General features: G+C 52.7%; 1 protein-coding gene across 48 annotated transcripts in view; it reads right to left on the bottom strand.

Annotated features, from left to right (window-relative positions):
• Positions 1–16,416, bottom strand: part of CABIN1 (calcineurin binding protein 1) — a 167,325-nt gene that overhangs the window by 48,102 nt on the left and 102,807 nt on the right. For all 48 annotated transcript variants that reach the window (XM_047441218.1, XM_047441219.1, XM_047441226.1 and 45 more), the window contains one exon: positions 10,829–11,160. In XM_047441218.1, coding sequence (XP_047297174.1) covers positions 10,829–11,160 — 332 coding nt within the window. The remainder of the gene's footprint in view (positions 1–10,828; positions 11,161–16,416) is intronic.

The raw sequence follows: 16,416 nt of genomic DNA, 5'->3' as shown, positions 1-16,416 counted from the left end.
TGATGCCTCCTGGGTTGAGCACAGTGCCATAACCCCTCACCTCACAGAATTACCAATGAGGAAATAGAGGCTCAGAGAAATTCAAGAGCTTGCCCAAGGTCCCAGAGCCAGGAAGTGGCAGAACCATCCCTGGACTCTGGTCCAGGCTGCAAGGACTCTGAGGCCTGGGCTCTTCCCCTGCCCCCTGACCTATCCACTATAGGTGGGCAAGTTACTTTACAAATCCGCCTGGGCATGTGCTGTGTGCTGAACACTGAGCCAGCCATCATGGCCAGCCCTCTCTCAGGCCTCATGCAACCTGTCACACTGCTGGCTCATAGGCACCTCTGAGAATGGGAGGAGGCCCATGGAGCCACTTGCCAGATAACGGCACATTTTCCTTGGCTGCATTGGCCCTGAGGCTTGTGCACATAGACCCTCCTGTGACAGAGGGCAGATGGAGGGCTGTAAGGTCCTGAAGAGAAGTAGGGCAAAGAATCGTAGAAGCATACAGGCACCTTATGTCCTCCCTTGCCTACTATCTGGACCATCCCTGCTTCACAGCAGAAGGCAGAGGGGACATCTAACTCCTCTGCTTAAAGGCCTTTGGGCTGCACCTGCCTCAGGGCAAGAGTCAGCTCCATGCCTCAGTCTACCTGCCTACCCGCTGGCTCATCTCCCCCATACCCTCCAACCCCTCTTTGTGAACAGCCCTCCAGCCACACTTGTTCCCACCTTGGTCCCTGGAGGTCTCTCTACCTGGTGCCACCTCACCTTTCCCCCTGATGCTCCCCTGGAATACTATTCCCACAGCCCCATGGCCACCTTAAATAGCCTTTCCACTGACTCGCAGATGGGTCTGCTGTCTGCCCCTACTTCTCTATCAGCCCTATAAGGGCAGGGACACAGTCTGACTTCACTGATGGCTCCTCCAGGACAAGTCTAGTTTGAAGCTCACAGAAAAGGGTGCAATAGTTGCCCACAGGAAGAATGAAAAGAAGCTGAGCAGTCTGACCTTTCATAAAATGGGAAGGAAGCGTATGTCAGGTTGAGGGAGGAGGGCAACAGCCATGGGGCGTGAGTGGGGCTGCTTGGGTCCTTCCCAAGGCCAGGGTGCCAGCACTATGCTCCCTGGGGCCAGCTAAGCAACAGTCCATGCCCTTGAGGCTAAATTTCAATGCCAGCCCCCGCCCACTAACTCGCACTACTCTGCCAGCAATCGTTTCACTACAGCACACATTGGGCTGACTGTCATAGCTCCTGGAACTCCCCACGCTCCCTTTCTCTTCACACAGGAAGCAAAAGCTTGGGGTGAGGTGGCTTGCATCCCTACCTGTAGCCTTCCATGGGCCCTGCATGTAGTGGGGGCTTGGCAAAGCCTGTTGACAGCTGGAGATGGGAAAACAACTACTACCCTCTGGGGACACCTGCTGTCCCAAGATGTGCAAAGCCGTAAGGCAGACCTGATCCCAGGTGCCATCTGTCACTATTGTATGGTGGCCTGGAGGATGTGCTCTGCCTGTGTCACCCAGGGTCTCTGCCCCCAGGGGCTGTCTCCCTGCCACAACCAATGATGATGATCCACTCACCACTTAACTACCTCCTGCCTCACGAATCCACAAGGGACAGATGGTGGGGCTCAGAGAGGTCAGGCTCTACAACTCCTACATGGTGACTCCAGGTGTGCAAACTGTCTGGTGGGGATCCTGGAGCAGTGCCAGCCTATCTGCAAGACCAGTAGGGCTCCACAGGGCTGCCAGGAAGGTGGCTATGGACCTCAGCTGTGTTCAGCCCTTCACCTAGCCATACCTCAGGCATTGGCACGGGGGCACAGATGGTGCTCACGGGTTCCATGACAAATGGAGGAAACAGGAGTGGTGGAGGGCTTGGCCAGGGAAGACCTTCTGCAGCCTTTGGAGCCACCCAGGACCTCTTGCCCTGTGTGAAGGGGAATTGGCTGGGAGCCCTTGGAGTAGTGTTCTATAGGCCAGAGGAAGAGGAGTGTGTGGCTACCTGCTGATGGGAGACTCAGTGGGCTGCTGGGGACACCCATAAGCTGCGGGCACATACCTACTGCAAACTCACCCCAGCAACCTAGGACATGAATATCCCCATAGCTAGACCTGGTAGACTTAAAGCCAACCATTCCTGATACTTCTAATCATGAAAAATTATAATTAGAATGTCTGTTTGGATAAAGCCAAATATTAAGGAGTTAGTGTAAAAGCTGTGCCCACCCTCCCCCCGCCCCGAGAATCCTGTGTAGGCATTAGAAGTCATGCAATCAAAGAGTTTATGAGTACACGAGAAGCAAAAAAAAGCAGAACCACATTTGCATACATTTCTGTGAGTGTGTGTCTGTTTGTGTGTAAAGAAAGTAGGCAGAAGATGGAAAGGAAATGCACCCAACATTCCTGAGAGTTGCCTGGGGAGGGAGACTCATGGCAATAGTTCTCAATGGGGGTGGGGGTCTGTCCCCAAGGAGGCATCTGGCAATATCTGGAAACATCTTTGGTCATCACAGCTAGAGGAAGGCTACTGGTATCTAGTGGGTAGAGACCAGGGATATTGCTGAAAGTCCTGCAGTGCACACACAACATCCCCACAACAGAGAATTATTTGGTCCCAAATGTCAATAGTGCCTCAGGAGGGAACTCTGTTCTACGTTATTCATATATACTCATATATATACAACTGTTCTAGATCACTCATATATATATATATATGAAAAGTTAAATACAGTTGTTGAAGATGATAGATGTGCAAACTTTCTCACCTGATTCACAACATTAGAGAATCAGAACAGAAGCAGGATGAATGACTATCTGTGGATTGACCTTGACTTTTCTCTTTCCTTCACACCCCACAGGTCCTGGGCCAAAGAAATGGGGTCTGATTGGGCTAGCGCTGCCAGGCTGCTACTCGTCATACCTCATCTAAGTGGAATCATTCAGTATTTGCCTTTTGTGACTGGCTATTTCACTTAGTATTATGTCCTCTAGGTTTCCCATGTTGTCTGATCCATTGATTCAGCTCTTCTGTCTGAATCCATCTAGAATCAGACTACTTCCTGATATCCTGCTGTGGCCTCCTCCCATCTCTGCTGCCACACTGACTTCTTCTCCACCTGTGTGGACACATTCTCAAGCTCCTGGGCCTCTGACTACTGGGTGGGTTTGACTGAGGGAATTTGATCAGAGCACTCACTCCTTGAATTCCCTCCCTGTGGAGTTGATGAGGGGCAGCCATCAATGGCCAGCCCCGACAGGCACCGCGGCTGGTCCAGGGTACCACACTCCTCCTCCCTTGTGAATTCCTACTCTCTGCCTGGGCCTGTGTAAGTTGCTCCTTCATTAAGTGCTCTTCAGACTTTCCTGTTAGATGGGGCCATCTGTGTCCTGCTAGGCCTCTGACAGGCCACCCCCAACTCACTCTTTACATATCAGCCCAGTAGTGTCTCTGACACACTCAGGCCACATGGAGCCTGTCTTCTTCCACAACCTTGCGACAGTTTTTTGTTTTTTTAGTTTAGCTTTTTTTTTTTTTTTTGAGACAGAGTCTTGCTGTGTTACCCAGGCTGGAGGGCAGTGGCACGACCTTGGCTCACTGCAACCTCTGCCTCCCAGGTTCAAGCGATTCTCCTTCCTTAGCCTACTGAGTAGCTGGGATTTCAGGCACACACCACCACACCAGGCTAAGTTTTGTACTTTTAGTTGAGACGGGGTTTTGCCATGTTGGCCAGGCTGGTCTCAAACTCCTGACCTCAAGTGATTTGCCCGCCTTGGCCTCCCAAAGAGCTGGGATTACAGGCGGGAGCCACCATGCCCAGCCCTTGCGACAGCTTTAACCTAATTCAGGATGATGTCCCCTCAAATCCTCCCCTGCCAAAACTTGCCCTGAAAGCCTCTGACCTCATCTTCTTCCTCTCTCCTCCTTGCCCATCTAGTCACACCAGCTTCCAGCAGATTCTAGTCACACCAGCTTCCAGCAGATTCTAGTCACACCAGCTTCCAGCAGATTCTAGTCACACCAGCTTCCAGCAGATTCTAGTCACACCAGCTTCCAGCAGATTCTAGTCACACCAAGACTGTTTCTGTCTCTAGGCATGTGTTTTGGGTGTGTGTCCATCTGGAAGCCTCTTCCCCAATATCCTCGTGGCCATCAGGGCTCCCTCACTTGATTCAGGTCCTTGCTTAGACAGGTCTTCCCAATCTCCCTGTCTAAATAGTCACAATCACACCTCGAACCCCTTACCAAGCTTTGTTTTTCTTCCTACTCATCACTAGCTGCCCACACTATTCTCCCAGTGAGTACACAATGCTATATCCCCAGCACCTCAAACAGGAACCTCCTGCGTGACAACCACTCAGTAGACAGCTGCTGAATGAGTGAACCTGCAGAGATGCACAGAAAACACACTGGGGGGAGCACACGAAACACAAACACTTCTGCCATGTCATGGCTTGTGGGACAGTTGTGGGTAGTTTCATTCTCTTTTCCAAGCTTAAACAATATTATTGGTAATAAAAGCTGCTGGCAGAGTGCTCAAACCTATTCAAACTGCTGGAATCTGCATTTCTTTGCAGGAGAGAGGACCAGGAAAGCAGCAGCCAGTATGGGGGCAACCTGTCCCACCTCCTCTGGCACCTAAGGGCCCAGTAGAATCTTCAAACCATGAGGCAGACAGACTGAAATACAAAATCAAGATTCCTAAGTTCAGAAAAATATCAAGTTCTCCTTTTGCAAACTATACAAACTAAAGCTTGACAAGAACCTGGCTGGTTGGGAGCTGCAGCAGCCTAGGACATCCATGTGAGGATGCAGGGCACACCACCATTTTGTGGAAGGGGCCACTTTTATGTCCACAGAAAGGGAGCAAAGGTTAAAGGCAGGCGAACACCCTGCTTTGTGGCCAGCATGCCCTCCTGATGCCTGGTTCTACTATCTGTGTGGTCCTGGCTCAGTCAGTGTCAACTCAAAGCTCACCAGCTCCCCCCGAACACTTGCCTGTGAGCAAAAAGCAGGGTCTCAACAGCAGGCCCTCACACCTGCTCCAGTCTAATGGTGCAGGGCCCACTTCAGAGGCCCTCTCGTTTAACCTGCACGATAGTCCTGGCTTCTACGGGTCCCCCACATGAGCCAGCAGCACAGGCAGGTGGGGATACTGTACTCACAACAGGGGGGCAAGGGGTGGGGGTTCACACCCAGCTGACCTGTCCTTTACCCAGGCTCACACCAGAGCACCAGCTGACCCTGAAGTCAAAAGTCAGCAGATTCCCTGGTGATCCTTCAGCTGAGCACACAGCACCCCTGTGGGGCCCCCCTGGCAGGAGTCTGTCTCTAACCAAACCCTGGGCCTGGGCTCATCCCATATAGGTACCGGGCCAAAGAAATGGGGTCTGATTGGGCTAGCGCTGCCAGGCTGCTACTCCTCATACCTCATCTGAGTGGAATCATCCAGTATTTGTCTTTTGTGACTGGCTATTTCACTTAGCATTATGTCCTCTAGGTTTCCCATGCTGTCTGATGTGACCGAATTTCCCCCCTTTTTAAGGCTAATATTCCATACTGTTTTGATTAGTATATTATAGATTTGTAGTATGTTTTGAAACTGGGAAGTATGAGTCCTCCAGCTTTGTTTTCATTCAAGATTATTGGCTCCAGGGAACATCTTATAACCAACCCCCTCTGCCTTGAACCCCTTGCAGCAGAAGTAGCAGGAGGTGAAGGGGCTCAGCTCCCAGCTGAGCAGGAGGCAACTGGGAGAGCAGGGCAGGGGTGTCTATGCCTTGGCCTTTTTCCTGGACACCCATCAGTAAAGGCCAGAACCTTCATGACAAGAGGTGTCTGATGCCATGTGCTCTCTCTCCTGGGGTGCCTATATGGGCTCAAAGAGCCAGGTTTCTATGAGTGTAGACTCAGGCCTCAAAATCTTGGTGAAGATTGTGATCCAGAGAGTAAGTGATACGGTAGCTAGAATTAGGGCCCTTATGGCTATCAGCATAAATGATCATCCCCATCTAAGGTGTGCACAGTGTGCAGGGCAACAGGTGGACTGCCTTGGGGGGTCCAGGGGCAGCCTGTGTGCAGCAGTGCCAACCTTGGGAGGGAGGGCAGCCTCAGGCAGGCAACAAAGGTCTCTCAGGACAGACCTAGCCCTTGGCCACTATGCCCCAGGCAGGGAGCCCTCAGAGGGCCTGGCAGAGGAGTAAGGAGCCATGGGAGATGCTGACACTGAAGAAATGGGTCTCACTATATGGGTGAGAAGGATTGTTGGCTGAGGGCAGTGCAGGGTATGTTGGACATTGCCCCAGCACTGCATCCCTCACCTCATTAACACAATAATTCTGCTTTCATATCACTATCATTCTCATCGAGGAAAGAAGAGCCCTGGACCTCCAAGAGTTCCCATGCGGAGCGAGGATCTGAACCCAGGTGAGGCCAGCTTCAGAGCCCACATTCTCTCCTCCTCCCCCAAAAGCCCTGCTGTCAGCAACTAAGCAAGTGGCACACTGTGCCCTGAAGGCGGTTTCTTTCCAAGGCCTGGGCAGGCAGAGCCTCACCTGGAGGTGTCTGTGAAAGACCTGAGGGTTCAGGAGTCAACCACACAGCTCCAGGCAGGCTCTGCTTGTGGGCCCCTTTGAAGAGGCAGACATCGGATGCTCCAGTCCACCAGTGAGCTGTGAGATGGCAACAAGAAAAAGGCACTGCCAAGCCCACAGGCAGGATTTTATGAAGAAATGTGCTGCTGTCAAATATACACAGCGGGAAGTGTTTGTTAACAAACAGCTGTGTTTGGAAAGTGGTAACTACTTCCCAGTTAATGGTTCCACATTAGTCAGTGACAACATGGAGTTGTGTCCCCCAGATCTGTGAACAAGCTGCTGCCAGCAGAGCTGACACCCCAGGTCTGGGCAGAGCCACATGCAGCCCCCAGGATGGCATGCCCCAGAGCAGCAGGAAGGTCTTAACTCAGGCTCTCAGGGGAGCTAGGTGTTAACAACCTGCATTCAATTTGGTGGTGGTAACTGGTGCTCAGCAAAGGTTTCTGGGTGAAGCAAACACAGAAGCCAATGGGAACCACCCTAGACCCAGCATATGCAAGGTCTAGAATGAGCTCAGTGGCCCGAGGCTACCTGAGGCACACTTGGCACCTGCAGAGCTGCCTCCTGGAAGCAGATCTGTGGGTAGGCAGTGTGGCTGTGGGTAGGGAGTGTCTGCTGCTTAAGGGGTCTAAGATTCAAGATAGCATTCCATTTCTGAGAACCAAGGAACTCAGCCTGGGAATGCAACGAACAGAAAAGCTGGCAGAAACTGAGGCTAATGGCTACTGGGGGTTGTCTGGGGATACTGACATCAATGGTGCAGACAGCCCAAGGCAGCCTCCATCCCTGCTACTGGGTGGGGATGGCTGGGTCAACTGGCCCGCCTACCCTGGACCATCACAGATGACCAAAATGACCTGGCGAGGGGGCATTCATGGTAAGAGCAAAATGGCAAACTATGAGTGTGGACAGGGTGTGGGGAATGGTGCAGCAACTGGGCCAGCATGAGATTGCCTGGGGCTGATGTCTGGCTCTGTCACTCAGCTCTGTGTGACCCTCAGAACAGGTTCCCAGATGCAAAGTAGAAGGGGTATGATCCCACCTCTGGGACCTGGTGTACCTGGTGTCTCGAAAGCACACAATCAACAGGGCATGTGTATTGGAGTTGAGAAGAAATACAGGTAGGGCATCCTAAGTCTGAATATCTAAAATCCAAATTGTTCCAAAATCTGAAACTTTGGTGCTTAAACGAAATGCTCATTGGAGCATTTTGGTTTTTTGTTTTTGTTTTTTTTTAGAGGGAGTTTTGGTCTTTCGCCCAGGCTGGAGTGAAATGACGTGATCTCGGCTCACTGCAACCTCCGCCTCCCCAGTTCAAGCGATTCTCCTGCCTCAACCTCCTGATTAACTGGGATTACAGGTGTGCACCATCACGCCTGGATAATTTTTGTATTTTTAGTATAGACAAGATTTCGCCATGTTGGCCAAGGTGGTCTTGAACTCCTGACCTCAGGTGATTCACCCGCCTCAGCCTCCCAAAGTGCTAGGATTACAGGCGTGAACCACCGTGCCCAGCCTCATTGGAGCATTTTGGATTTCAGATTTTTGGCTTAGCGATGGCTCAGCCAGAAGTATAATGCAAATATTCTAAGATCTGAAAAAAGCCAAAATCCAAAACTCTTCTGGTCCCAAGCATTTTGTATAAAGGATATTCAACCTGTACTAGACCCAAGAGAGCTAGTTTTAGGGTGGCAGAATTGTGGTTACCTCCCTCCAACTTTTAATTTTGACATAAATACTGTTTTCTACTTCTAAAAAAATCATCAAGAGAAGGGGCAGGCTGTAATAACAGCATTTTGTGTCTAGTGCTGAGCTAAGCACTTTATATGCACTGGCTCCTTCAAATTCAACATAAAGCCATTTAGCAGGGAAGTGGAGGGTGGGTGGGTGGGGCCCGTATCGCTACTCAACTCTCCTCCCACCCAAACCTGCTGTCCTTCCCCACTTCCCTTGCACAGGTGCCAATTCCTAATACATATTTTGTACCCGAAATTCCATCTCGACATCTGCCTCTTGAGAAGGTACCCTGTAACAGGATGAGGAAGGGTCTGAGCTCACTACTAGGGAACACCAGATCCTGGTCAGAGCTGACCACAGCTGGAGGGGGCTGCATGGCTGCCTGAGGAGGCACTTGAACAGAAGGACACCAGAGGTGGGGGAGGACAGGACAATGGTTACTAGTGTCCGTTCCACTGATGTGTGTGTGGGCTCTTGCAGTGGGCTCTGCTGCTCCCAAAAGAGGGAAAGGGGAAAGTTCCCAAAGCAATGGTGAGCCCAACAGAGTTCATATCAGCCATTGCCCCTCAGGCCCAAAGACGGCTTCAGCAGTGAGGACATGCTGGTTGGGGTTTATTAAGACCCAGGTCCACCTGGGTGCAGAAGGCCTGGGATACAGAGGTAAGGTCCACTGCCAAGTGGAGGCTGAGCAGTGAGCAAGCCAGGCTCCAGTGTGGCACCAACAGCCAGGGAAGCCGGAGCTGGCCATCGTTTGCTAGCATGCACTGCACCTTGAACTACAGACCAAAGCCCCAGATGATGAGACTCCCTCCCTCCCAGACCTGTGTCACCTGCTGTGCCCTGAGGAAATCAACCAAGTCACATGAGCATACCGGTCACTGTGGGGACACAGCACTTACCTTCTTGGACCCCTGTATCTAGTCCCCCAAACAGAATTCTGTGAAGTGCCACTTCCTGCACATAGCCAGTGCCAAGCCAGGGCCCATCTCTTGGCCAACTGTCCATTCTGGTTCTTCAAACATTCCACTGAGGATGCTGGGGGGAGCCAGCAGGAGACCTCTAGGAGGAGGACCTGACTGAGTCCTCACAGCTAGGCCCTAAAGGTCACCCCTGCTTGCCCAGCATACCTGGCCCTCTCTGGCCCTCGCCTACACCAATGCCAGCCCAGAATGGCCACCTTCCTGGGCTGCTTGCTCTGTCTGGGTGCTCTCCCTTCCTTCCAGACCAATGCTGTCCCCTACAATACAGGTCTCAGCACAAAAGGTGTCTTTGCAGAGGCACAACAGCACCCTCACCCCTCTATGCCCCCCGTTATTTTCTCTGTGGTATTGTTCAAATGAGACTTGCTTTACTCATCTGCATGTTTTTATTTTTTATTTATTATTTTTGTTTTTCAGATGAGTCTCGCTCTGTTGCCCAGGCTGAAGTGCAGTGGCCCAATCTTGGCTCACTGCAACCTCTGCCTCCCGGGTTCGAGCAATTCTCATGACTCAGCCTCCCGAGTAGCTGGGACTACAGGCATATGCCAGCATGCCTGGCTAACTTTTGTATTTTTAGTAGAGACGGGGATTCACCAGGTTGGTCTTCAACTCCTGACCTCAGGTGATCCCCCTGCCTCAGCCTCCCAAAGTGCTGGGATTACAGGCGTGAGCCACCACGCCTGGCCATCTGTATGTTTTTAAGTCTGCCTCCCCCTTAGAATGTAGCTACATGGTGCAGGACAACGACCAGGACACTCCCCAACACCTCCTGGGTGAGAGACTAAAGGAAAATAAAGTCACCCCTATTATTTACGTCCTGCCCAGGCCACATTACCTCCCCAAATCTAAACGCCAGCAGAAGAGGTCTGGCTGGGAAGCCCCTGGAAGCACTTAAGCCTGGGGCACAGCTGTTAAGGATCGCTACATCATCCGCTTTCCAAAAAGAGCTGGAGGAGGCTGTCAGCACCCAACCCCCATGAAGCAGAGGCTGTGAAGATGGTTTTGGCAGCTGCACCAGCGACAAGAGCCCAGGGGCAGGGTATGGTGAGGAGGCCCCTGCAATATGCAGCTGGAGAGATGGGGCCTAGGGCAAGCAAGGCCAGAACAGAGAGTAAGCAGGGCCCCTAGGGCACCTGGAAGACGGGCTTGCTGTCACTGAGACGATGGGTGAATGGCAGGGGTGAGGGAGCACGACATCAGAGTTTGAGTTGCTGCACAGCCCTCACAGGAAAGAGTAGTTGAGCCTATGGACCCTTATCCCTCACCCCATAGCCTATCCCTGAGACTGTGAGACCCCCTACACTCCTCCCTCCATTCCTGGCTGTGACCCTGGGCCCTCACCACCAGGTTCCCTGGCAAGCTGGCCCACTCCTGGGGCTGGCCCTGCCTCCTGCAGCTCTCCTCGCCCATCCCTCCCATGTGCTGCTACCGTGAAGCTCCAATCTGTCTTAGCTCTGCCCACCAACCTTCAAAGATGCCCAGCTGCCCTGGGAAGATCCAAGCCCCCTTGGCCCGGCAGCCACTCACCCGGTGGGTCTTGCTGTAGGTGTAGAGGAAGGCCAGACGGTAGAGACTCTTATAGTGCTGGGGGAAGCGGCTCAGGCACAGGCGGAAGGAGGCGATGCACTGCTCTGTGAGAAACTGCCGCTGCTCCTCAGCACCAGCCGGCAGCCCCTGGGGGAAGGCCACTGGCTCCCCTGGGAGGTCCCCTCTCTTCTTCCCATCCCACAGGGTGGGTGTGGATGCTGAGGGCTTGCCAGGGATGCAAGCAGAGGCTGGGGTTTCTGCAGCAGGCTTCTGGACACCTTGCTCTGCAGCCCGGAAGCCTTCTGTACTCTCCAATGACTCCTCGTTTTTTCCTACAGTTGAGAAGAAGGGAAAGAAAGTCACCCTGGTTTTAGGCCCTGTCCATGCAGTGGTCTACCACCAGTAACGGAGGCGCCTTGGTGAAGTGATCAGCACGGCTGGATCAATGCCCTTGCTGAGTGGATGCTGGACCCAGCAGCAGGAGGCACAGGGCCCAGTGCTGGCTCTGCCCCAACCGAGGTCTCCCGCTCCATGAAACAGGCTGTCCCAGCTGGCATGCAGTGAGGGACCCAGAGGCTACAGAGAGGGGAAGTTATGGGCTGGGCTCTGGGTCTTCCCCTCTGAACGGTGGCACAGGCTGTCCCACCTCTGGGGCTGGGGTATGGGGAAGCAGCCCACAAAGGGCAGGTGTTGCCACCACCAGCATCGCATAAAACACAGCCAGGGTTCACGAAGTATCATACCTGCTCCCCTGCTCAGTGCTCAGCCCACTGCCTGCCCCAACTCCCTCTCCAGGGTTGCCGCTGCTATATGTGAGCCAAGTGCTCCCACATGGGCCCTCATGTGACATGAGCCCAGCTCCTGAACACCCAGCCTTGCTCCACCAGGGGCCATGGGGCAGCAGTTCACATCAGGATAGCCCAGGCTGGGTGGTGGTGCTGCACGGCTGGCCCCAGGATGATGACAGTGGCCTGGATGACCTTGGGCTAGACCCTGAGGTGCAGGCTCCTTGGCTACAGAAGAAGAAAGCTATCTGGCCCGGGAGGGTGGGACAGATGGAAAGGGCTGGGGAGCAAGGGATAAAGGCAAGGGGTCCTGTGGTCTGTGGCTCCTTAGGCACTCAGGAGCACGGCACGCCCTGCACAGCCTGCCTGGAGGAGGCCAGAGAAGCAGCCAGCAGCACCAGCTCTGAGGTGGTATGCGATGGCTGAGCCCTCTCCCTACTGTAGTAGCAGCCTGGAGATAGCTGGGGCCTGCTGGGGCAGGGCCGAGTCAGCAACAACCAAGGCCCCCAGTTCTCCGCATGCTAAGTCGAAGCCTATCTGCAGACATCAGGTGTGTGGCCAGGTTGCCCACCATCACTATTCTCGTTGAGGAAAGAATCTGAGCATTCACTCCCTATGTTCCCCTCAGCCACCTGCTATTAGTCTGACCTTCCCTCCCTGCTCCCCTGCAGCCCACCCCACTGCTCTCCCTCAGTGTCCTTGCCTCTCCACCATCACTCCTTCTCCTGGAGCCATTGCCCTTCTCCCTCCCCTGCATCGCTGCCCCCAGTGGTGTTGGCAAAGAAAAGCCATAAGAGCATCTCCCCTCCCCCAGGCCCAGAGCCTACCATGGGCTGCCCCCTCCCCCTACCCTTTGAGGTGGCCCTAATGACTGAATGCCAGGAGGTCCTAGCTCCTTCCACACTACACTGTCTTCTCATGTGAGCTCAAGAAGTTGCCTGCGTCCCACAGCTTAGGGCTGGCACCCATCTTACAGGGGATACCATCACTTTATTAAAAAATGTGCCAGGTTTCTAATGTGTTCAAAATGTGGCTCACCAAACAGGGTAAGCCATAATGCTGGGATCAGCCCTGTGCTAGGCACGGGGGAGACAGAGGAATCAGATGATGATGCAGGCCTCTCAGCGGTTCACATCAGGCACTGAGAGCTTGGACACAAAGACACACAGAGCACAATTTTTATGGAAAGCAGGCAGAGGGTCAAGAATTCAGCCAGAGTCCTTAGAACACATAAAGAGGAAGAAAACAGCAATCCTAGACTGAGTCAGAAACCCAGCTTCAGGGAAGACCCGCTCAGCCGCCCCTCTCTCAGAGAGACAGCTATTCTCTTTTCTATTTCTTTTGCCTATTAAACCTAACCCCCCCCCCAAAAAAACAAACAAAAAAACCCCTGAGAAACAAGAACCCAGTTTTAGGCTGGGCGTGGTGGCTCACGCCTGTAATCCCAGCACTTTGGGAGGCTAAGGTGAGAGGATTGCTTGAGGCCAAGAGTTTGAGACTAGCCTGGGGCAACACAGCAAGATCTCATTTCTACAAAAAAATTAAAAAATTAGGCAGGTGTGGTGGCACCTGTAGTTCCAGCTACTCGGGAGGCTGAGGCAGGAGGATCCTTGAGCTCAGGAGGTTGAGGCTATAGTGAGCCATGATTGCATCACTGCATTCCAGCATGGGTAACAAGGACAAGACCCTGTCTCAGAAACAACAACAACAACAACAATCAGTTGCCTAGGGGTCTGGGTGGCCTAAGGGGCCCCGGAGAGATGGGGCGAGCTGCCTTACACACAGCATCCACTCCCACTGCTGAACAGGCCTCACAGGTCACTAGAGCCCTCCATTTCCTTACTGGAAGAAAGAGGGTCAGAAATGCCAACAGGACTACACCACGTTTCCCGGCCAGGATGTCCAATTCTAACCCTAGCTGCGTGAAGATGAGAAAACTTCCTTCTACCAAGAAAAAGCAAGTAAAATGTGTGTTCTGGCTGCTCTAGCCTAGGCTGGTGCCTGCCGCAGGCAGGGAAGACTGGCTTGGAATGCCTGTGGTGCATATGCCAAGGCCAACAGAGCACAGGAGCCATCTGATCCACATCAGCCCATGGAGGTCCTAAGAAGAATAAGGCACAGACATGCCCCCAGCTGAGCCTCTGGACTGATGTGTACTGATGGCCTAGTGAACTCAGGGGGCCTCATTATGGAAAAGCCTGGCCCTCAGGTGGCTACACATCTTGGCAAGACACCAACAGCTGAGAGGCCCAGACCAAAATATGCCCCAGCAAGGACCTCAAGTCTGTCTCTTTTGACTTCTGAGATCGTCTTACTCAAACTCTACTGGCCTGAGAAAAGAGCCCAGTGAGGATGCTTTCCACAAAGGGTGGGCAGGCAAGATGGGAAGGAAGCTGGGCATTGGCAGGTCAACTGCCCCCAGGGTGGCCTCCCCCCACCGACAACCATTTATCACCCTATCCTGCATGTGGTGCATGGGCATTGTCACTAGGCCTCTAGTTGACCAGGAAGGGGCAGATGTGGCCACTCTGGCATGTCCTTGTGTCCACTGCCTGGATCACAACAGGTGCTTGTCAACTCTGCTTTGGGTTTTACCCTCTTGCCCTCAGAACGATATGATAGAGTGGGCTTGTGTTTAAGTGATGAAACTGTGGACAACTTTCTCCCTAGATCAAATAAATAAATCTCTACTCTTGCGACCTTCATATTTTAGACTTTTTTTTTTGAAGCTCTGCCCCCTGCAAAGGTGAGCTTCCGCTAGCTGCAACAGTCACTTCTGGGAAAGGCTCTTTCCTCAAGGCACCTCGGTCAAGGCCAGAGTGGAGAAAGACAGCTTCTGGAGAATTAAAGGAAGGAGGCTGGTCCTCGGGCAGTGTGACAGCTTGTGCCTGCTAGACACGGTGGGAGGGAGCGCATCTCATGCCAGGCAGGATGTGGCAGTCAGATCTGTTTCTGCTTTCCCTCGGTACCCAGTGCATGGTGCAGATCTGGACCTGTTGTGCCCTGCTGCTTGATAACAAATACGCGTGAGTGAGGGCCTGTACCCCACAACATTAATGATGGAGGAAGCAGCAGGCTGGTGGTAGGACTCTCCATGAGGGTGTGCTGGGAAGGCAAGTGGTGTGGAGCACACTTGGGGCCCGCACTCAACACTGCCTAGGCACTGCTGTCCCAGCTTTCTGCAGGGAGGCCAAAGGCTGCTCAAGTACTGCAGACTGTGATGGCCAGGCTGCTACCCAATGGGAGATCAGGGGAGTGCGTGTTAGAGACCACCACTGACCAAGACTAGGCCTGGATGAGTGCTCTGCTCCCAGAACTATCTGCTGGCTGTGGGCTTGGGAAGCATTCCCTGCCATACCTGCTCTTACAACAGGAAGTTGATCAACTTCACCACCATGGTTACCAAGAAAAGCTGGGCTTAGAGAGGAGCAACATGGCCATGGAAGCAAGAGGTTTCATTTCATGCTTATCAGCTATTGTGGTGACCTTTGGTCCTACCCTAACTTTCTTCACCAATGGCCAGCCCCACAAACTGTCTGCTTAAACCACTGGCTCTAATGGAAGGAGGGAAGAGGCAGGACACTCTTCATGAGTCTAGAAGGGCCTGTATAGGCTGTGCCAGACCAAAGCCAACTCACTCTCTGCTTCGTTCCCCCAACACCCATGTCCCCTTCCCCATTTAAGTGGGAAAGAAGCTCATGATGACACAATGGCACCTACAGCAGTCACGGCTTGACAGGCCACAGAGCACACATGGTAGGTCTTACTTGTCTGATAAGTTTTAAAAATCTTATTTTTAAAAACAGAAATGCTGTATTATAGTGTTAAGAGTGTAAGTTACCTTTTTCCTTCCCATTCCAAACTTCCTACAGTGTGTTTATGTCAGTTACAGAATGTCAACACTGGCTGGCGACTGCATAGTGACTGCCTGGTTAGAGAGTGGGGTGGTGGCCTCATCTCTTGATGAGGACCAGATACAAGTAAATCCACATAGTAAGTCCTCCATTCTGTGCCCTCTTCTCTAGTGTCTCTATCAGGTGTCCCCTAATGGGGATACTTCCAATCTACTGGAGATGTGGTCTCATGCCCTTCTAAGTCCAGCCAGGGGAGGCTGGCAGGGAGCAGAGAGCTAGGAGAGGTCTTCTTAGTGTAAATGGCTCTGGCCCCACTGCCACACCTATGTGTGAGCTCCCATCCAGGGCTTGCTCTGAGACTTCCTGGGACAAGGCCTGGGTCCCTCAGGGAGGCAGTTTATCACCAGCGTTTTTCCCCATCCATCCATCCATCCCACCCGGAGAGGTAGCGTGGGGTAATGGTTAAGGGTGTACACTGACAGGGCAAATTCCAGACCTTCTCTGAATCTCATATTCTTCAGCTATAAAATGGGAATAGTCATTGTGCTTTTTTTCTAGGGTGCTTGGGAGAACCAAATGAATTAACACAGTGCCCAGCACAGAAAAGAGTACGGGGCTGGGTTGTTGTTATTACTGTTTGAGGAACACGTGTAAGCCCTGGCCCTGGCCAGAGTGGGAAAGCTCTCAAATCTATAGCTGACCAGCCACACCTCAGAGTGGGGCCAGGAAAGCCCCAGCCTGCCTGTGATCTCCCAGTAAGCCCAGATGTGGGGCTCTGCCAACTGATTTCTATAAAGGGGGCCTGGACCCCCCAGGAGAGTTGGGCACACCCCCAGGCTTAAATCAGGGCTCTCTGCCCCCCTCCCCAAAAAAGAGAGATTTTTCCTGAAGACCTCATATGATTCAAACTAAAAGGAAAACACATTTGTGACATTTAGGATCCAAAGAC

This window comes from Homo sapiens, chromosome 22, assembly GCF_000001405.40.
Source record: "Homo sapiens chromosome 22, GRCh38.p14 Primary Assembly".
NCBI lineage: Eukaryota > Metazoa > Chordata > Mammalia > Primates > Hominidae > Homo > Homo sapiens.
Note: the sequence above shows the minus strand (reverse complement) of the source record. Positions and strands in the feature narration are given on the sequence as shown.